The sequence below is a fragment of the Homo sapiens genome, chromosome 5 (genome assembly GCF_000001405.40).
Source record: "Homo sapiens chromosome 5, GRCh38.p14 Primary Assembly".
NCBI lineage: Eukaryota > Metazoa > Chordata > Mammalia > Primates > Hominidae > Homo > Homo sapiens.
In genome coordinates, this window is record NC_000005.10 from 89,049,666 (window position 1) to 89,071,939 (window position 22,274).

A 22,274-nucleotide genomic window follows, 5' to 3' on the forward strand; every position below is an offset into this window, starting at 1 on the left:
ATCTAGCCTGAAAGACTGCATAACAGTCTTTCATGATCTACTTAAAGTGGTGAAAGAAAAAAGATTGTGAACTGCATGACAGTCTTTTGTTGCGGGATGTCAGGGACCCCAAATGGAGGGACTGGCTGGAGCCGTGGCAGAGGAACATAAATTGTGAAGATTTCATAGACATTTATCAGTTCCCAAATAATACTTTTATAATCTCTTATGCCTGTCCTACTTTCATCTCTTAATCCTGTTATCTTTGTAAGCTGAGGATGTACGTCACCTCAGGACCACTATGATAATTGTGTTAACTGTACAAATTTATTGTAAAACATATGTGTTTGAACAATATGAAATCAGTGCACCTTGAAAAAGAACAGAATAACAGCGATTTTTAGGGAACAAGGGAAGGCAACCATAAGGTCTGACTGCCTGCTGGGCTGGGCAAAAAGAGCCATAGTTTTTCTTCTTGCAGAGAGCCTATAAACAGACGTGCAAGTAGAGAAGATATCACTAAATTCTTTTCCTAGCAAATAATATTGATATTAATATTCTGTGAAGGAATTCATTCCTGGGGGGAGGTCTGTAAACAGCCGCTCTGGGAATGTCTGTTCTGTGCGGTTGAGATAAGCACTGAGATATGCCCCGGTCTCCTGCAGTACCCTCAGGCTTACTATGATTGGGAAACTCCATCCTGGTAAATTTTTGGTCAGACTGGTTCTCTGCTCTTGAACCCTGTTTTCTGTTAAGATGTTTATCAAGACAATACGTGCACCACTGAACATAGACCCTTATCAGGAGTTCAGTTTTTGCCCTTGTCCTGTTTCCTCAAAAGCATGTGATCTTTGTTCTGCGTTTTGCCTTTTGATGCATGTGATCTTTGTGACCTATTCCCTGTTGGTGCACCCCCTCCCCTTTTGAAATCCTTAATAAAAACTTGCTGGTTTTGCAGCTCAGGTGGGCATCATGGTCCTTCCGATATGTGATGTCATCCCCGGCGGCCCACCTGTAAAATTCCTCTCTTTGTACTCTTTCTCTTTATTTCTCAGCCGGCTGACACTTATGGAAAATAGAAAGCAACTATGTTGAAATATTGGGGGCGAGTTTCCCCGATAGTCTTTCAGATATTTGAAGGGGGTTCCAAATTTCCTCTATTTTCTTTTAATCAGTCCCAGTGCTTTCAACTGCACTCTGTAGGATACAGGTGTGTTTCCCCCATAACCTTATGTTATTATTCCTGAATACTGTGTAGGCTTACGAGGTAGCATTAGGAGCTCAATGCAGTGTATCCAGGATGGATTCAACCAGTGCAGATTAGAATGGCACTGCCACTTAGGAATTTTAGATAATGTACATTTGAGATTACACTTGGCAGCCACACTGAAGTGTCATTTCTTAATTCTAGCCGAGTCTCCTTCACAACATCCCGCACCTTAACAAATGCAGGTCTCAGGTTCCAGTCAAACTCTAAAGTTTTGCAATCTTGTCATAGCTTTAGGAAAGAATCCTCAAGGAAGAGAGTCAAATATACTTGTCTGTTTCCAAGAAAATAGGCAAGGAGGTGGACGAGCAATCTTTAGCACAGCAGGCATTTGTTACTTAAGCTGGCACCCTGAATTTGTGCCTGGGTCTCAGTGGGGATAAAATGTGGTGTGAATGGTCAGAAGTAAGTGGATAGAAAGAATTGTTTCCCCAAATGTCTGAGAGATATTAAGAGACAGAAGACACTGCTTCTTCTAACAAACTCTGACTCCAACATAAGGGTCAGTGATTTAGCTCATATGTTAGTTCTTACAGTACCTGGTGACAAAATTCATGATGGCCGTTATGGATTTGTGTACTGCATTTAGGAGTGTTCTTTCTAGCCTGCCATGTCTAAAAGTATGAGAATCTAGGATGGAGCAGAAAGAGTTATACCTTGCTCGTTCATACTCAGAAGGTGGGGAATATATTACTTGCGTCCTTTGGAGCTATATGTGTGGGTATTACTGGAATGACAATGAATTTACTATTACTTTTGTGGAAATGTAAAATGAATAATTTGCAAAAATGTAAATTGAATACAGAAAGAGTACACTATGTTCCATTTCAATTAGCAGAGTAGGTATACAATTTGTATGGAAATATAATCAGATGTTTATTTGTTGCATTCATTTTAGATACTCATAATAGGCAGCTGTAGGGTATTCAGTGCTCTCTGTATCAGATTTGAATTAATGACCTACTTGCAAAACCCTCTGTTCCATGTCCATCAAGCATATATTTTTATTTAAATTTCTAGTATATTTAAATATAAATAAATTCTGTTTTCACATTTTAAAGGATTGTTTTAATCCTTTGTAACAGGATGCATCTTTCAACATTTTGAGAATAAATGGAAGAAAAAGGTTTACAAGTGAAGTACTTTAAAACATCTGAATTTAGGATATAAATATTTTCATACCTTTTATATATTTTATATGTAAAATACACTCACACCAATACAGACGCATACACTCTCCATCTCTTCCTCTCTTGATCTCTTCCAAGCTGTACATAGATATGACATAAGAAGACATACAAACACCTGTTTACATTGGCAAATTTCAACATGCTTTTTATGTGGAGGGAATATAACTGGGGCCCTTAAAAAATACTTGATATGTTTATATCCTAAAAAAGCCGAAGTGTTTCCTTACCTGGACTTGCTAAAAATGCCTGTATTTCTTACTTGCTCAACATAAATCAGTCTCATACCCTCTGTGCACAAGCACCCATGCACGCAAAGATTCCGAAAGGGAAAATTCTTGAAAGACGCAACAAAGAAAGAGAGGAGGAATCCTTTAAATGTAAAGCCATAGTTTACTAAGTGTCTTTAGGATTCAGGTAAGGGGCCTCTCTCTCTTTGCTCCTCTCTTCTTAGTCTTTAAGTCCACTGATGACAGGAAAATCTTCTATGGTTCCAGAGAGAAACTGCTGGAAATCCTGCACATTTACCTTCTAGAAGAAAGTAAACTAATTACAAGAGTGATACCCTGAGAGAGATCTTCCCTCTTAAAATACTTTAAAGGACTCCAAATTAAATTATATCCATGTCCAGGACCCAGAAGTGGCTCAGGAAAGGGAAGGAGCATTTGGTTAATGTCAGGTGATTTCTAAAGTCTCAGATTCTAAGGGGAGAGCAAAGTTAGGGAAAGGAGGGGGATGGAGAATACATTTTGAGAATCTACCAAATATCAGGATAACTATTCAACTCCAAGGATTTTCTGTTTTATTTTGTATCTTTCAATTTATTAAGAAAGAACAAGCATGTCTTTTTTAAAAAGATATATTTTTCTCTTTAATATTCTGTACTTAAAATCTAAGTATGGACCTATCATTCATTAGTTCTAGGGTAGGTCACAGCCTAATTTACAAATTCAAAAGAATAAGTTAGATAAACTAAATTGCTTAAGACCACATATTTGTAAGTTGGAGTATGCACTAAAAATTTCCTGTCCTTGAACTGGCATACTGGGAAATGAATTCCGCTTTTCTCTCAGAATTTATTCATATTGTGAGTTTTATAATTTTACTTATCAGTTGAGGTTGTTTTACCTACATCCACTCATGTAATATAAAGTGTAAAATTAAGGCAATGATCCAGAAAATTCAGGGCAAAGTCATTTTAAAGTATCTGGATCTTCCTAGAGATTCTGATTTTAAAAATCTGAGAAAAAGGGTAATGACTCAACATCCTTAGCTCTAAAATATATCTGACAGGTTATTTTTATTTGTTGGGTCTTCAGAAATCATATTCATGTCTGAAGTCTTTCGTAAAATGAATCAAAGCCACTCTGTATCCAAAGCTAACACCAGTGTTGTCTTTTTTTGTAAAAAAAAAAAAAAAAAAAAAAAAAAATTGGAGGGCTTTACCTCAAGTGCTATGCAGTAAATTTACAGGGAAAGAAAAATTTTATTAAATTATAACTGAGAGGTGCTGATTTTTTTACATAGCAAACAAAAAATTCCTTCATGAAAGGCTATAAAACCATATTATTTACCAGAGAGACCTTTCCTGTCTCCCAGGTAAACATTTACAGTGTGTAGACTTGTGTAAATACATATTTAGGAGTGGCTAAATATGGCGAGGTATTTTTAAAGGCATAATTACAAAGGTGAATACATATATTGGCGTTTTGGTATGTGTAAGCTAGGTATACTGCTCTGCTGTTCAGAACCCTAGCGGGACTATGGTAGATACACGTTGGATACAGGGACCAAGTTTCCAAACATTCATCTTTAATCTAAATTACTAAAGACAGGTTCTTAAATTGTTTCAAAAAAGTGAAAATTTCCATCTAATGGAGTTCAAGTCTTTCTTGCCAGTTTGACTCGAGGAAACTTGTTTCAGAAAATCAGGCATCATTCATGGAAGTGAATCTGTTTTCTGGATATCTTTGTGTATAAAGTAACCAACATTTCACATTCAGCTCAGAATATTACCAAATACTCAAAGATACAGTCCGTATGACAAATGGATCAACTAGGAAATTTTAGTGAAGGGGGAAATGCCATTAAGATGTTTTTAAAATACTTTAAAAAATATGAAAATGTAAGTGAAAAAAATCTGTTGTTGATGAGATGGCAGGAAGCTGCGTATGGTAATGTGCTGAAACTCTGTCTAGAGGATGCAGGATGTCTATGTGCAGCCTTGCTTCTTGGGAAATGTGTTCTCTGTGAGGAAAAGAATGAAATGGAAACCCCTAGAGAGGTTGTAGATGCATGAGAGAGCACTATCTGTGTCTCTCTTCCTGTGTGCTCTACCTCGGAATGAAGATTCAATTCATGTAAAAACCCTTTCTAAGATGGAAAAGTCGAGAGTCTAAATAACTGTAGAGCTTGAACTATCTCAGGAGTCTTTGGCAAAGAAGTCTAAACAATGCTTTTATTTCATTTCTAATGCAGTACACAGCTATTTCTAAATGCTCTCAATATCCTGCTGTGGGATAACTGAAAATCTTTTTATGGTAAACCATATGGGAACAAAGTATTTATTCAGTAAAATGATTTCTCCATTAAAATTTCCACTGGGCTGAGTTTTTTAACTGTACAAAAATACATACCATATGTACGTACTTTTTTCCCAAGGTACAAACACCACAAATTGTGATTAAACATTCTAGGTTCTAAAACTTTAAATATCACCTTAACTTAAAATATTATGCTGCTGCTATCATGCCTCTGGAATGTAAGAACTTCTAACACAAGTGCTGACAATTTTGGTGTACTTTATACATACTGTTTGTACATACTATTTGTACCGACGTTTGAGACTTGGAAAACAAGCTTTCTCAGCAAGAGACAATCCTCTTTAAAAAAAAAAAATAAAAATATGAACAGGCGCAAGTACCTTTGCATTACAGTTTTTATTAGTTCATCCCATCTTTAATTTTGTTCTGTGGCTAAGTATCTCATTTCCATGTAAACTTCCACTAGGAACACAAATTGCTGACACCACATCTACCGACAGAAATGCCACAACATAAATTATGCCAAGAAAATGCCGCTTTGGGTGGGGGGCAAGAGAGGGGGAACTAAGCTAGATAAAAAGCCACTGTGTTACTGCCCAGCCTGCAACTCTGTCCCGCTGACCACTGATAAAATTTATCACAAGGCCACATACGGGAAGGCAGCCTAAAGAAGATTTGTCTGTGGTAAAACGTGTAACAGCAAAATAGCTAATGGAGCATTATTACTTTATTGGAAAGCAATATCTTTGGATGCTTCACTTTTCTAGCCTTAGCAAGAGTATGAATTGTTCTTCTATATGCAGAAGAGCTGATAAGAGAAGGTTGTCAGAACTCTGAATGACGGCAATAAGCATCTTTAGAGCTTACCAGTTCACCACTCTCTGCCCAGTACTCTTAACTAGTAGAGGAGTAAACAAGGGCCAAGAACATTAAAAGCCAATCTGAATCTTCATTCTTAGAAAAAATGGTTTGTTGACCTATAATGCAAATGGACTCTTTGCAAAGAAGCAGTCTTGGAAATTTCATGGTTAATTACTGTTGTCATAAGTCAGTCCTGGCATTAGTAGAAAGGAAAAATATTCAGATTACACAAATAAAGGGAATCTCATTTGCTAAGAAATTTAAAAACTTTGTCATTGGATGGGGCTTATTTATTCTTTACGAGTTGAAAGGAAGGAAGTTGGGTCAACTTATGTATGCTTTGGGCAGTCACAGTTGCATGCTTAGAATTGTTCTAAATAAAACTGATCAACATACCAGAGGATTTTGTTGCTCTTAGCATATTTGCTATGCCCTGAAGCCATTACCTAAAACATAAATAGTTGGACATGCAAGCTGCAGCTGTATTCTGCCCCCTACTCAGCATGCATCGGAGCCTCTGAGCTCTGTCCATTGCTACATGTGCATTAAATAAGTCAGGTATTTTGGATAAACTGCCTCCCGTTAACGTAAGAGAAACTGCATTGGTACCTAATGGGTTCACTTCATGCTAAATCCACTAATAACTGCAAAAAGTATTAGTAGGAGAGTAAAGTTTGCATTTCTTGCTGTCAACCTCAGAACTCAGGAACCTCTCAACAACCTTCTTTCTTTTTTGTTCAAGTCCATTGTCAATGCCATATTTATATAACCCCTTCATGAAGCTACTTATGTACCTAGCCTCTACAGTTGCTTAGGTTAATATCTCATGTTTACTGCCTGCAATTTAAAGCAGTACTTTATTTTATTTTTCCTAAATACACCTCATTCAAGCTGTAAGGGAAATTATTTAAATGCTGAAATCACCAGAGTTAGGTGAATAATGATAACTACTATTTATTATTGAATGCCTACCATGCTAAGCACTGTTCAGGAGCTTTCTGTATATTAATTCATGTAGTCCTCAGAAAACTTTATAGAAATAGTTATAATTTTCTTCATTTAAAAAAATGGAGTTTGAGATTTAGAGAAGTTGGTACAATTTACTGCAGGCCTCATAGCTGGTAGACTTGTTAATTGTAATATAACATTTTGAATTTTGTGTGTAGATGAATGTTTTTCACAATTGCAAACTTACGGATAGCAGAAAATGGGCCTTTTTACTTTGTCTTTTGTGAGCACAATGAATGCCATACAGCGCCATGCATAAGAACGCATGGAGGTGTGCACTATGTTTCCTTTCCTTATGAAAAAAGGGACATTCAGCAATTTCTTAACCCCATGGGGCCTCAGTTGCCTCACATGTAAAGTGTGAAAATAATGCTTTAACAGTGAAGACAGAGATGGATCAACTGGTTTCTATGGATTCTTTCTAGGTTTTAAGATGCATTTTAGTAAAACGGCAAAGGCCAGGTGGCTCACTCCTGTAATCCCGGCACTTTGGGAGGCCATCACCTGAGGTCAGGAGTTTGAGACCAGCCTGGTCAACATGGTGAAACCCCATCTCTACTAGAAATACAAAAAAATAGCAAGGCATGCTGGTGAACACCTGTAATCCCAGCTACTCAGGAGGCTGAGGCAGGAGAATCCCTTGAACCTGGAAGGCAGAGGTTGCAATGAGCTGAGATCATGCCACCACACTCCAGCCTGGGTGACACAGTGAGACTCCGTCTCAAAAATAAATAAATAAGTAAATAAATAAATAAAATGACAAAGAAAAAAATCACATCTGTGTCGGGATACAGAGCCCAGCCACCAGAAGTCTACCTCAGTCTCTGACATTATATTGCTGCTATAGGCAACAGTATAATGCAACTGAAAAACAATAGCTTTATCTACATAGATAAAGAAACCTAGATTAAAGAAAGCAAATATCTAGCGAACCTGCAAAGAAGGCCAGTTATGATAGTATCAACATCAGCTAACTCTGGAGTCTTCATCAATATGCTCACCTTGTACCTTTGAGAGTCTCTGTTTAGAAAATAGAGGAAGAATTTGATGATGGAACATTTATCTTCTGTGAGCCCAAATTGATTATTAATTGTCTTTAACGAGTAGAGAATGTAGACCTTGGAACATCTGCTTTCTAGTTCCCTATATCATTTCTGGAAAAAAAAAAAGACTTCATGCTAACTTTCATTGCAATAACTAAAGCCAATTTAGGTTTCTGAAGAAAGATTCTGATGGATAAGATTGAAGGCTATTACTGAGGAAACTAAAAGGGTGGACTTTCCCTAATGTAAGAAGAGGCAGATAAAGACTAGGAGTCAAGAAAGCTAAGTAGCAACTCCTCACTTACTAAAAACTAACATCTAAACACATTTTTCCTTTTTTCTCACATTCTCATGTTCCTTGTGTTCTTTACACATCTCTGTAGCTTGGCCTGATACCCAAGCTGACTTAAGTCTTTTACCAGCCAGAAGAGAAAGGGAATGGGACGGTGTGTCGAGTGAGGATGCTTGACTCTGAAATGAAAATGGTGGAGTTCATTTTTATCTAGGCTTTAGTGATAACCCTTTAGAAAAAGGCAAGTGCAGTGCAAGTGGATTCTCTCTGTGTTCTAGGTAGTGAGAGCTTAGAAAAGGCAGATGTCCACTTGGTCATTATCCTTGAATTTACTGGTCCGAACCAAAAGATTGAAGTACAGATATCGCTTTACACATAACCACAGTAATAATTATGAGTATTTCACATCTGAGAGGAGACAGGTTAAGACAAATAGGAAAGTGGGAAGAGGTGGTTAAAAGAAATTTAAAAAGTACAAAAAGTTCCAACTTAGTGTAGAAAAACAAAAATCAAGAAAGCACAGAGGTATTCCCTAGTTACTTTCTAGCACTTTTTAAACATTTCATGGCTTTATTTATTCCTTTAGATGAGAATCTTGTGAATATCCCAGCTATATCACATTCTAGAAATAGAAGGAAAGCTTCCTCCTCTCCCAATCTCTCTCTCTCACTCAATATTCTGTAAATTTGACCCGTGTGTCACTTGAGGTATGGTTTCTTATTGAGAAACTTAAAGGATCTTATGTAAGCACCTGGAGTCAGTACAAGGGAGCCCTCACATTACCTGTTTCATTCTTTCTTTAACTTGGGAAAGAAAACCTTTAAAAATCAGGTATTCAATGCTAAAATAAGGTCTGTAGTATAGGGCTACAGCCCCTAATGTGTCTCTTGTTGGTGGAGGAGGGCACCATAACGTCTCTCTGAGCTGACATGTGAGACTTCATAGTTATGAGAATGGTGAGGTTTGGAGCAGTGCCTATTAGACTCTCAGGGTTGTCCTAGGGACAGTGTAATCTCATTTTGACATGACCAATATAACATATCAAAATATTGAAAAAAGAACTTATTTTCTTCTAAAATTTTGGCTCAACTAAGTATTATTATGCTTTTTGTGGTTAAAACCAAATCATTGTTTTCTTCAATTTCATATTCATTGTGTTTAGCATCCCTTAAGTAATTCTTCATCTTGGGGGAGAATAAAGCGTCTTTAGCCAGTCATTCTGACAATAAAGTTCATGAGACTGTATTGGGAAATTCAATTATGGATAATGGGCAATTGTAGGTAAAAAAATGTTGAGGCTACTGCAAACATTATTGTTTTTCATTTTTAGAAATGAAACTTTTTTTTTCTTTTAAGGAAGAGATGGAAAGCAGAACCAAATTGAAAATTGGAATGATAATGACAATTGAATAGACGGTATCCTAAACTTTCCAAAAATTACTGATCTACCATGATTTTAACAATTTTATTTAAGTATATTTCTTCACTTTTTTAACTTTTGGAGATCACTCTGTGTTTCCAAATATCATTTAAAAATAGGTTTTCTAATTATACTTATCCTCTCACTCATATTACATATACTACAGTAGTAAGTCATGCAAATAGCAAATATTTCAATGTGGTTTCTCATTCAACAATGGCTTATAATAAAGTACTGGTAGATGATGAATGTGACTATACAGCATTCCTAAAATATTTGTAAATGAAAATTAAATTATGACGAATTTCTTCTTTTATTCCACACAAATCAGTGATGTTTCACTGATTCAGGTACTATTAAAAACTCAACTTATTTGACAATTTATCATTTAATGAATTTCCCATGGTGGAGAAGATTGACCGATTGAACATATCCTGGCTTCATAAAGATGTTTCTGGAAGGACAATATCACCAGACAATGCACACACAAAATGGGTACTTCATATAGGCAAACTAAGAGTTTAAAATACAGTGTATAGGACTCTAGTTAACATTGGTAGATCCCTTGGGAGAACTTTGTTGGAATTATTCTTAAAGTAGTGTCACTTAGGGTTACACTTGAATTTTAGGCTTAATGGGCAACAATAAATAGTGTATTGTTGTCAAAGCTCAAGGCAATTGTACATTGAAAAGAACGTGTTTTTTTACGTTGTTACCCCTGCTACTTGAACACACAGTATTTAAGAAAAAATTATTTCATAAGCCATTTTTTCCTCTTGAGTTTCAGTCAGCAATTTGGATAGTAGTCCTCAGATAGCTTGCACCTGATGAGCAATAGTCCCAGGCAAAGCTCCCCGAGAAAATCACAGCTATACTGCTGGAGAGAGTTACCTACACTCCCATTCTCTACTTCTTTACTTCCCATTCAAGTCCTCAACCTATTTCAGTTTCTAACTTTACCACTTATTAACTGTGTGCCCTTTGTGTCTGCAGTTTTTCATCTGGAAAAGAGGGTAATAGTATGCACATCATAATATGTTTGAATGAGAGTGTATGTAGACATATGTGTGTATATACTTTGTGAAGATACAAACAACAAATATATGTACATACACATATATCTATATATGCTAATGGAAACTTCTTAATTTGTTATGCTATTGTATATGGTATTTTAACTTCTCTCCTATATTACCTTGAGACCATGATCTCGTATGTTACCAAATGGCCTGTACAAAAAGAAAGGACCCCCTTAGTCCTTGTATTGCTTGACTTCTCAGCCCCATTGGACACTATTGCACACTTGCTTTTTCAGGAACTCTTTCACTCTTCTTATTTCCATCAAGTTTTCTCTGCTCTCTCTTCCTCAATCCTTTCCCAGTGCTTCTTTCACTCTTATTCCTTAAATATTAGGCTTTCTCAGGGTTCAGCCCTTGGCACTTGGCTCTTTTGCTTTACCCATTTTCTTTGCCCAATGTCATTTGGTTTTGGAATTTGCATTATTGTAAAATCTATAAGCTGATGATGTCCACATTCCTATTACCTGCTTAGATTTTATGCTAAGCATCAGACCTCTATATCCACCTGCCCGCTTAGCATCCTATATGTACTTCACATTGAACATGTTGAAACTGGGCTTGTCATCTTCCCTGTCCTATCCTCCCTCCCCTCATTAAATGGTGCCAGTATTTACCTAGTTGTTCATTAAACGAACATAGGGTTACATTTGTTTCCTGTATTCCTCCTCCTGACTCACTCCTATGTAATATCAAGTCCTAAGTATTCTTTATCTTAAGGAATCCCTTTATCTCATTTTATCTCAACTGCCTCTTCCCTAATTTGCCTCTGGCCTGACCTACTAAAACAACCTTCTAAATAGCTTCTGCACTCTAGTCTTGTCTTCATTATTCTATATAGAAGATTAAAAATAGTTCTAGAAATTAAATCTCATCATTTTCTTTCTGAGCATCAGAAAGTACAGTCTCTTTAAAGTGGTGTATAATCTGGCCACTGTCTATCTCTGTAGTTTCCCCACTTGCATAGAATCCATGCTTTCTATCCCTGGCATTTTGCACATGCTGTTTCCTCTGCCTAAAACATTTCCCCAATTTCCCTACTATTTTCTGGCTTAGTTGATAATGATACAGTAAGCCTTAGTTTACACTTTACTTTCTCTAGGACGCCTTCATAGGCATTGACTCCTCCAAGACATTTCTCTTGACATTTCTCATGATGCCTTTACTTTTACCATCATAACATATATCATGTTGCCTTACAATTGTCCATTTATCTCTTTTCCTGTTAGACTCCAAATTTCAACAAGGTAAAGATCATGTCTACATTTTTCAAGGTTATATCTAGATTAATGTTAGTAACTGAGAATGTATAGGGTAAAGATTTGTGAGTGCAAATATATTAGTCAATAAGTCTTTTCAAGCAAGAATAACAGAAATGGGTCAAAGCTCATAATCTGCTTTTTTTAAAAAAGAAATTTAGAATATCATTAAAACATTATACAAATGAATTTATAAGGTTCTATAACTATAAGGTTCACACGATGAGGAGTAATATTTTAAGGCATGAAATATGTGATCTAGGGTGATGCCAAATTTAATGACATCACAACTTAATTTGAGTCTGGCATAATTACCATCCCAAATATCTAGGCCTTGGGCAGCAACTCAAGTCTTGTCTGGTCACAGTTATGGATGTTATATTTTATTCAGCCGATTTATTTTAGTAATTCAAAGGCTTCACATTTTTACAGTTTGAAAGGGGGAATTTTTCTTAGTTCTTTGGGCCTTTGTTCATATTAAATTTTTGCATCATATAACCTATTTTTTTCTGCCTATGTTTTAAAACACCTGTTCGTCCTTTTTTTTTTTTCTGCTGCTCCACAAGGTGAAAACAAACTCCCCAATTCCGTAATCTTTTATGTCCATTTAGTGCAAGAGTCCTCAGTAATACAGCTTTGAACTAGTGATAGTATGATTCTGTTAGATTAGTTTACCATATCAGTTGATTTTAGTCTCAATACCCCCATTTCTTACCACAAATATAGTGCTTATCTTCACTCTAGTATTTTAAGATATACCTAATTTAGAGATTTCTCCACCTAGCTACTTGCTTAATCTTCCTGTCCTATCGAATCAACTTTCTTTTTCTTTTCTTTCTTTTTTTTTTTTTTTGAGATGGAGTCTCACTCTGTCACCCAAATTGGAGTGCAGTGGCATGATCTCAACTCACTGCTACCTCCACCTCCTAGATTTAAGTGATCCTCCCACCTCACCCTCCCCAGTAGCTGGGATTACAGGCATGTGTCCCCACACCTGGCTAATTTTTTTGCATTTTAGTAGAGATGGGGTTTCATCTTTTTGGCCAGGCTGGTTTCTAACTCCTGACCTCAGGTGATCCACCTGCTCAGCCTGTCAAATTGTTGGGATTACAGGCGTGAGCCACCACATCTGGCCCTATCAAATTAACTTTTCAAAGGAGACAGATTTTAAACATGTTAAATATTTTGAAGAGAATTACTTAAAAACAGTTATAAGGTAATTTTTTTCTTACATGTATGTATGATTTTACCTTTAAAGTTTTTCATTTGCTCTCAAAAGTTTTTTTGGTCAATTGTTTTGTGCAACATTTTTAATGGGAAGTATAGGATTTGTTCATTTACACTGGACATACTTCATATTTGAAAAAGAAGTTTGAAGGTTGTAGACATAAAGCATATAGATATAATCCCTGATTGCTTAGTATATATACATATATATACATTATATATTTATATATATGTATGTATGTGTATGTGTATGTGCATATAAATGTACATACACAGAAATACAATCTGTATTTACTATATTTGTGTATGCTATATGATATATAATACATGTATAATGAATATGTATACTATATATACACACATACTATAAATACTATGTTTACATATCCATATACGTATATATACATTATATATGTAATATTGTCCCAAATAATTTATAAATACTTGATGAATTAACATTCTGAATTAAAAAGTGTAGTTAGTTCTCTTAAGAAAATTGGCAATAAAAATAACGTGTAAAAAAGAATGTCAATTATAATTTATATTATGCCTTAAAGAAAACCAAGCTACTCTGATCAGTATGGCAAAGAAACAGAATTTTCAGTATAATATCTATTAAGATTTCCTCTAGATGACAGAAAACACCTACAATGAAAATACTTTAAATTGTAAGTCTCTGTCCCTATCCTCTATCATGCTGCCCAAATGTGCTTCTTAAGACACAATTTCTTGACATTTCTTGGAGATAACACAGATTTTTGTAGCTCAATAGCTTTGTAAATGAGAGTTACATGTTAAACTCCTTTACTTATCCTAAGTTTTTTTTAAGTGTCCTTTGCTCTTTGTATTTTTTGGCTCTTATAATTCTTTGCAGATATTTCCATTATTTATTTGCCACATTGTATCACTTTCATCCTTTACTTTTCTATCTTTCACACTGGGACCAATGTACTGTTAAATTTTATAGGCAGACAACCTGGGCAAAAATTTCTGAGATTGTGGAAAAATATATATATTCTGGCTATAAATTATGAAAAACTGCATCAAAATTAATAAATGTTAAAATGCCTATAAAAATAATCTCAAGCAAATATAACTTAACTCGGATGTGGTTATGTGAATTATATTTAATGTGAGATGTGAGTGCATTTTAATGTTTTATATGATGTCAGGAAGATCTGCAAAACTCTAGATCCTGAGAATGTATCAAGTTGGCTCTGTGGTACCACTACACTTTGAGAGCAAGAATTGTGTTTGACTCATTTTTATAATTCTGAAGACCAATAGTAGACACTGATATGTGGTAAGTACTTAAACACTGGCAAAGAAATGCCTGGAAATTGTAAACATTCTGTAAGTATCACATGGCTGTGTAATGGTCCATAGTAAATGAATGTAGCCAGAGAGGCAGTATATCATAGTTGTTGAGAGTGTAACATTGAAGTCCCACAAACCACAGTTGGAGTTTTGGTTTTGTCACTTATTACAAGGGCGATTTAGAGTGAGTCATATATCTCTGTAAGTCTAAATTCTCTCCTCCATTAAATGGAATAATAGTAGTATTTACCTCTTAGGATTTTCATGAGGATTAAATGAGATAATGTATGTTAAACACTTAGAATGGTTCATGGAATGAGGTAAGATTTTAATAAAAGTAGAGTTAATGTTGTCATTATTACTATAAACTAGGTAAAAGGTAGCTTTAACAAAAATTGCTACATCTATAGTATTTAAATTTTCAAATAGCTTTTATTCTTGTTAGCCAAATTTGAGGAGAGTAGAGATAAGAGGTCATAATGAATAACTTTCTCCAAATTCTCAATTCTCACCAGCAACAGATTGTAAAACAAAAAAATGCTGGAATAAGTCAGATTTTGAGGCTCTATGTAAAATTTAAAAAGTGATGGTGATAAAAGCTTTCTTATTCTCAAGATAACATGCATGAAAACAATTTGTGATTCAGGATAGCAATACGGGTATGTCTTTAAGCCAAGTAACTCATTGTGACACATTGTCCTTGCTTTCTAAAGTAGGCCTCATCTCACTTTTAATGTGTGAAAGGGGAGATTATTCAACACAGTGGTAGACACATTTTTGTTCTCAAGAACACTGAGATATCATTAATCTTCTGGCACGCCTGCAAAGGCGGGTTATGTGAATGCTAGTCTTTTGCAAGGCTATAAATAAAGTTTAAAGAGAGAAAGAGGCAGAAAGAAAAGATGTTTTCCTGAAGCTTCTATTGCCACAGTACGGACCACATTAAGGGTGCAATAACTTACCAGTAATAACACTTAAAAAATCCTCTTTTTGGGTTTTCAACATCTGTTTAGAAAAAATCCAGCCTAAAAATAGAATCTGGTCTTGTAATGTAGCTTTCTCAAATTGGGTTATCCTAAACCCTCTCTGCATTGAATGGTCACATATGACAATTTAGGGCCAGATTTGTGGCATAGCAATGGTTTATCATATATATCACATGCTTAGCATCCTGTAAAATGCTGCCATACACATTCATGTATTAGGGTATGTGTGTATGTGTGCACGTGTGTGTATGTGTGTGAAGTAGTTCCTTGTGAATGGGAAAGCTTTAGTGAAAATAATTTTTGCTTCGTTGGCTTCTGAAATGCAAAGCAAAAAATGATACACATTTTTCTTATTTTTTATATTAGGAATTTCATTCTGTTTGATAATAGACTAAATTTCATAATTATCAATGTTTAAAAATACTCTTAGGAATAACGCTTGTATTGCTAAATGCTGTTAGAGCATGCTTATGTATTATTATTACATATAATACAGACTTAATTTTCTCATCAAATTGGAATAACTGGTAGCATTTTTTGGTTCCAGCAAAGGCCTCTCTCCTACGGTCCTTCAGTGAGCAAAACTTCTCCTGACTTCATGAGAAGGTATAAAGCAATTAACACATCACAATTATTGTTTAGGGCTATTTTTATTCAACCCTATAGAGCTAAAAAAACAAAAATAAATACCTTTCTTAAAACACCAATTTCATTGCACTTTAATTATATCTTGCCATACACACTTGGAAGTTTTTTTTTTTCATAATGTTTTGGAATTTGGGACTTCCAAACAGTTTATATATGACAAACTAAAGACACTGCAATTAGAATCTCTTTGTTATTCAGTTTTTAAGGAGTTTGTGTGGCTAATTAAGAGTCAACATTTCTGGCAGTTTTTCAGGTTGAGCAAACCTTTAGATTCAAGACAGTCTGCTGACGTGGCAGTCCTGATCCTCTCATTACACTCATAACTGAACTTCAAGGGAACTCCTGAGTCTGTGGCTCTTTGCTTTGCCCTCTGAATTTGAGAGGCCTCATCTGGGGGCTTGTGATGAGACAGCCATTTCTCTACTGGTCTTTGCATGTGGCTCCACTCTCACACAGCTCACATACGGGGGGTTCATTACATTATGTAACCGATTAGGATGGAATGGGCAGTTTAAATTCCTCATCCAAGAAGCATAGGAGTAGAATTTCCATGCCATGTACGTAAAAAGCTAAAACACAGGCCTGATCTTCTCAACACAGGAGGTAAAATCCTCAGAAGCCAGCATGGCTTTTGGAGATCTAGTCCTGACCATCAAGAGGGACAGTGATGGTAATCAGATATTTTTAATAGAGTTTGAAAACTCATTGAAAATGTGAATTTAGAGAGTACAATGTGGTCCTCATTTACAGAAGAAAACAAAAAGGGAAAATAAAGAGAATAGTAATGAATATTTATGAAGTTTTTATTATACATGGTTAAATACGCAATTACCTGGTCTGTTACTGAAAATATTTTCATGAAGTATATATTACTTTCCTATGGGACACTGAAGGAAATACACTATTGTGGCAGGGTGGGTAACTTGTTTATGATCTCAAAATTACTAGGTGGTAGAGACAGGATTTGAATCCAGGTTGGTCTGATTCTGAAGTTCACATTCTTAACCAGGATCAACAGGATTCACCTACAATCAGATGGTGGTTGAAGCAAGATTTCATTTGCTGGGTTCCTCCCTTCGCCTTCAAGGAAACTTCTCCTCCTTTTTGGTGGTCCCTATTCCCATCTACTGTCCCATTGTTCACAGGTCTTATTTTACCTCATCCTTGTCCACTCCCAATAAAAATGTGAACAGAAAATAATACTAGCTAACGGTATTTCTCTGACACATGACTGTATTTTGGTAAAAATTAATACACAAAGATGTATCTAAGAGGAACAAAATGTACTTCAGACAACACGGCCACTGGAGAATGTTGGAAGACATGTAAGGATTAAGAAACTGTGTCTTCCTAGAGAGGGACTTGGGGTCTGGGGAAACTCAGTGTTTTCTACTCAAATATTTTTACACAGATAAAATCAGTCTAAAATGAACCCGAAGAGCGTATTTGTAGGCAAAAGAACTCATGAACTAAATAGCTTCAGGGGGCCAGGCGCAGTGGCTTACACCTGTAATCCCAGCACTTTGGGAGGCCGAGGTGGGTGGATCGCTTCAGGTCAGGAGTTCGAGATCAGCCTCGCCGACATGGCAAAACCCCTTCTCTACTAAAACTACAAAAATGAGCAGCCATGGTGGTGGGCACCTGTAATCCCAGTTACTCTGGAAGCTGAGGCAGAAGAATCACTTGAACCCAGGAGGTGGAGGTTGCAGTGAGCCGAGATCATGCCACTGCATTCCAGCCTGGGTGACAGAACGAGACTTTGTCATAACTAACTAACTAACTAACTAACTAACTAACTAACTAACTAACCAACTAACTAACTAAATAAATAGCTTAAGGGGAGAAATGTGGTCAGGGTGGGAAAGAATAAACCCTTTGCTTGGTGACACTAGGGTATTTTCTGAGGTTCTGAACTAATTATACAAAATCTTAGATTCTCTTCCTTCATTTCCACGCTATTCTATTCCAGTGGAAGAACTCAGAGTAGCTCACATGGCCTCAGAACACTCGCTTAAGAATGCATTTCTTCTCATTGCCCTTAAATAGAGCTGCTTCCTGCTCAAGAGGCAGAAATCTGCTGGCCCATGGTAAGATAATCGCAAGTCTGCTTGAGATGACTTCTTCCCTATTGGTGATGATACAGAGCTCTTTATTTTAAAGCTAATATTTACTGACACTATCTTAGGGAACCCTAATATAAACTTGCTAAGTTTTCAAGTGTATAGAGAAAAAACTGTGAAGAAATAGTAAAATAATTTCTGAAAAATATCATAAAATAGAGAAAAAATTATTGCCTATAATCTCAGTACTCTAATATACCAATTGATATACTTTGTAGCCTTCTAAGTTTTTTCTGTGAATGTTTAACATATATATGTTATACAAATATACATATTTTTAACATGTATATGTTTACATATATATATATATATATATATATATATATTTTTTTTTTTTTTTTTTTTTTTTTTTTTTTTTTGGGACAGAGTCCCACTCCATCTACCAGGCTGGAGTGCAGTGGTGCAATCTCGGTTCACTGTAAGCTCTGCCTCCTGGGCTCAAGCGATTCTCCTGCCTCATCCTCCAGAGTAGCTGGAATTACAGGCATGTGCCACCATGCCTGGCTAATTTTTGTATTATTAGTAGAGACAGGATTTCACCATGTTGGCCATGCTGGTCTCGAAATCCTGACCTCAAGTGATCCACCTGCCTCAGCTTCCCAAAGTGCTGGGATTACAAGCGTAAGCCCCCGTGCCTGGCCGTTTAACATAATTTTAATCATAACTAATATTTTTAAAGTTTTTCTTTCTTTCTCTTAATATTATGCCATAGTCATTTTCTAGGATACTAAGCATTCTTCATTAATTAGGCTGAGAGTTTTTTTGGAGGGAAGGCTGGGTATAGCTCTTCTTTTAAAAATTATTAATTAATTCTTATTTATAATTAATACATAAGAATTGTACATATTTATGGGATACAGTGTATGTTTCAATGCATGTGTACATTGCATAATGATCAAATCAGGGTAGTTACCATAGCTATCACTTTTTAATGCCAGTGTCATGCTTTTTCAGTTACTACAGCTTCAAAGTACATTTTGAGGTCAGGTAGTGTGATGCCTCTAGCTTCATTCTTTTTGCTCAGGATTGATTTGGTTAATCAGGGTATTTTGCATTTACATATGAATTTTAAGATTTTTTTTTATTTCTTTGAAGAATACCATGGTATTTTGATGAAGATTGCCTTGAATCTGTAGATCCATGAGATAATATCAATATTTTAACAATATTAATTCTTTTAATTCATGAATACAGAATATCTTTCCATTTATGTCTTCTTCAATTTCTGTCATCAAAATCTTACAGTTTTCATTGTAGGGATCTCTTACCTTCTTGGCTAAGTTTATTCCTAAATATTTTATTTATTTTATACCTATTGTAAATGGAATGCTTTCTTGATTTCTTTTTTAGATTGTTCGCTATTGGGGTATTTCGAAATGCTGCTAATTTTTGTATGGTGATTTTGTATGCTGGAACTTTACTAAATTGTGTTGTTTTTAAGTGACATAGATGTCCTATCATACATCGAAATGCATGAATTACCTCCTTGTAGGCATTGCATAAATGACAGCATAGTCCAATTACAGATTTTAAATATTACTCAGATTTTGTACATGCTACATTGTAACTGTCAGTGGATGGTTAACATCAGCACATTTCTAATGTATCACAATCCTGTTATTTAATTATACTTAAAACTTGGATTCATCAAAACTGGTATTTAGAAAAAGAACAAATATAATTGACATGAGACATCCAAGTAAATAATCATTGAATTTAGATATTTTTGAAGGTTGCTTAGATTTCTGTTCTACAATTTTGCTGAGAATTTATTTTACACTAAGGAATGTCTTTGGGTTATTTGCAGCTGTTGTGGCCTGGCCTTGCCCTGTTAGTGGTGATCTGTGGGAAGAGAAGGAGACAAATTGTGACACTGTCCCTTATCAAAGGACCACACAGTTGTTCGCCACGTTGACTCCATGATGGATAGTTATCTTGAGGCTTGATGGACATAAGGCTAAAAGTTCAGAGAAAAAGAGTGCAGGATCCCAGTAGCTCCTTGCTATTGACACTTACTTGATAATGTGGGTTTAATCAATCTTCTTTATTGTCTTTAGCTTCAGTTTTGTTTTCTTTTCCAGCTTCATTTTTCCCATCTCATCAGATTGACATGCAAAAAAAAAGTCTAAAGAGAAAAAAGACAAAAACTTCTGTTGTTGTGAATATACTGGAGACAGACGCAGTCCTATATACATATTCTTTGTACATAACATTTTCTGTGCATAACATGTGAACATATATATTTGTTTTAAGTTTTAATCTGATGAGTGGTTAGAGAAAGAAAAATAGATTTTTATGATCAAAAGTCGAATAATAATATTTACCTTGAGGAAAGATATTGTTCTTAAAGTATTTTGTTTCCTTTTTTTAGTGACCGAAGAATTTTATTCATTTTAATGTTTATGGACATGATATTTTAAATTTTAAGTTTAGCATACAGTCCATGAAGCCCATCTGACAAGGAATTAATAACCAGAATATCTAAGGAGCTCAAACAACTCTATAATAGGAAAAAAAATCTGATAATCTGATCAAAAAAGGGCAAAAGATTTCAATATATTTTGTTTGCTTTTGAGAAGCAGCACATTATCAATTACTGATCATTCAATTTTACATGTTTTCTAAACATTTGCTTTAGTTTAATATCTAGTTTATTAGATATTACATTGAAATAATTACTTCTGTATCCAAATATGGTGAATTTTTATTTGGTTGTCAGAGATTGATAAATTAACTTAAAACCGACTGCTTCTGCCGTGACTGAATTCTTCAAACAGAAGAATAGAAGGAGAAAGTCCCTGTGTTTTTTATGAACTTTTTGTTTGTTTTAATTTTTATTTTCCTTATAAGTTCTGGGGTACATGTGCAGGATGTGCAAGTTTGTTACATAGGTAAACGTGTGCCATGGTGGTTTGCTGCACCTATCAACCCATCACCTAGGTATTAAGCTCAGCATGTATTGGCTACTTTTCCTAATGCTCTCTCCCTTCTCCTACTCCACCCCCTGACAGGCCCCAGTATGTGTTGTTCCCCTCCCGTGTCCATGTGTTCTCTCTGTTCAGCTCCCACTTATAATTGAGAACGTGTGGTGCTTTCCATGAAATTTTATTTCCCCACTTAGTACATGGGATGGATGGGAGAAATAATATATTTTTCACAATTTTTTTTTTAGTATTTGAGAACATTTTTTGTCAGCTTTATTGAGCTATAACTTACACAAAATAAAATTCACCAATTTTGAGAGTACAATTTGATGAGTTTTAACAAATGTATACAGTCATATTACCACTACTAGAATCATGATATGGAACATTTCCATTACCACCCCAAACTTTCACTGTGCCCCTTTGTAGTCTTTACGCTGACCCACATTCCCTGGCTGCTGGTATCTACTGAAAAATGTGGATGACTGTACACATTTACATATCGTCCATGTACAAATGCCATGCTAATCTCTGTATTATTGCTATTGTGCTGCCCATATGGGTGCTTAAAACATTTTTAGAAGTAAGACCCATGGCTGTATATTAATTTGTTATTTTTTTGTAGCATTCATTTAGTAAATCTTCTAAGATGCTATTTCTAATAGTAGGTTAGAAATATACTGTCAGCCCTCTCAGAAAAGAAAAGTCAGCAGTTTCATGCCATGCACAGCATAATATAAAGCTTGAAATACTGCCTGGTCTCATGTCCAACTCATATCTCTTTTTGAAGCATTGAGGTGTTAATTAATAACTAGATTTACTTAGTCACCTAGTATTTTTTTCTTAGTCATCTAATAATAGTTACATTGCTGAGTTTTTGAAACCAAAAGTTGATTGACTCGATGCCTAAGTTAACCACTTTGTTATTTTTTTTAAAAGTTAGAAGGCACAAAGAACTGATGAAATACAGCTTCTAAAGTGTAGAAGAGAAAAGAAAGGCAATTTATTTTACCCTTCTTCTGGTTTGGCAAATGACTAAAAAGAAGGAAACAATAAGTGTGTGAAAATTGCTGTATATACCCTCGGCTGACAGTTTTGTTTTTTTTTTTTATTATAG

The 22,274-nt window shown here is 35.4% G+C and overlaps 1 long non-coding RNA gene across 6 annotated transcripts in view, besides 1 other annotated feature; it reads left to right on the forward strand.

Moving 5' to 3' along the window:
• Positions 1-22,274, forward strand: part of MEF2C-AS1 (MEF2C antisense RNA 1) — a 584,252-nt gene that overhangs the window by 166,336 nt on the left and 395,642 nt on the right. The gene's annotated exons all lie outside the window — the stretch shown is intronic.
• Positions 19,987-20,281: a silencer, noted in NCBI's record as "tiled region #5119; HepG2 Repressive non-DNase unmatched - State 24:Quies". NCBI's record gives its function as "represses a minimal TATA promoter and a strong SV40 promoter by Sharpr-MPRA in HepG2 cells {active_cell/tissue: HepG2}" and the evidence as "EXISTENCE:reporter gene assay evidence [ECO:0000049][PMID:27701403]".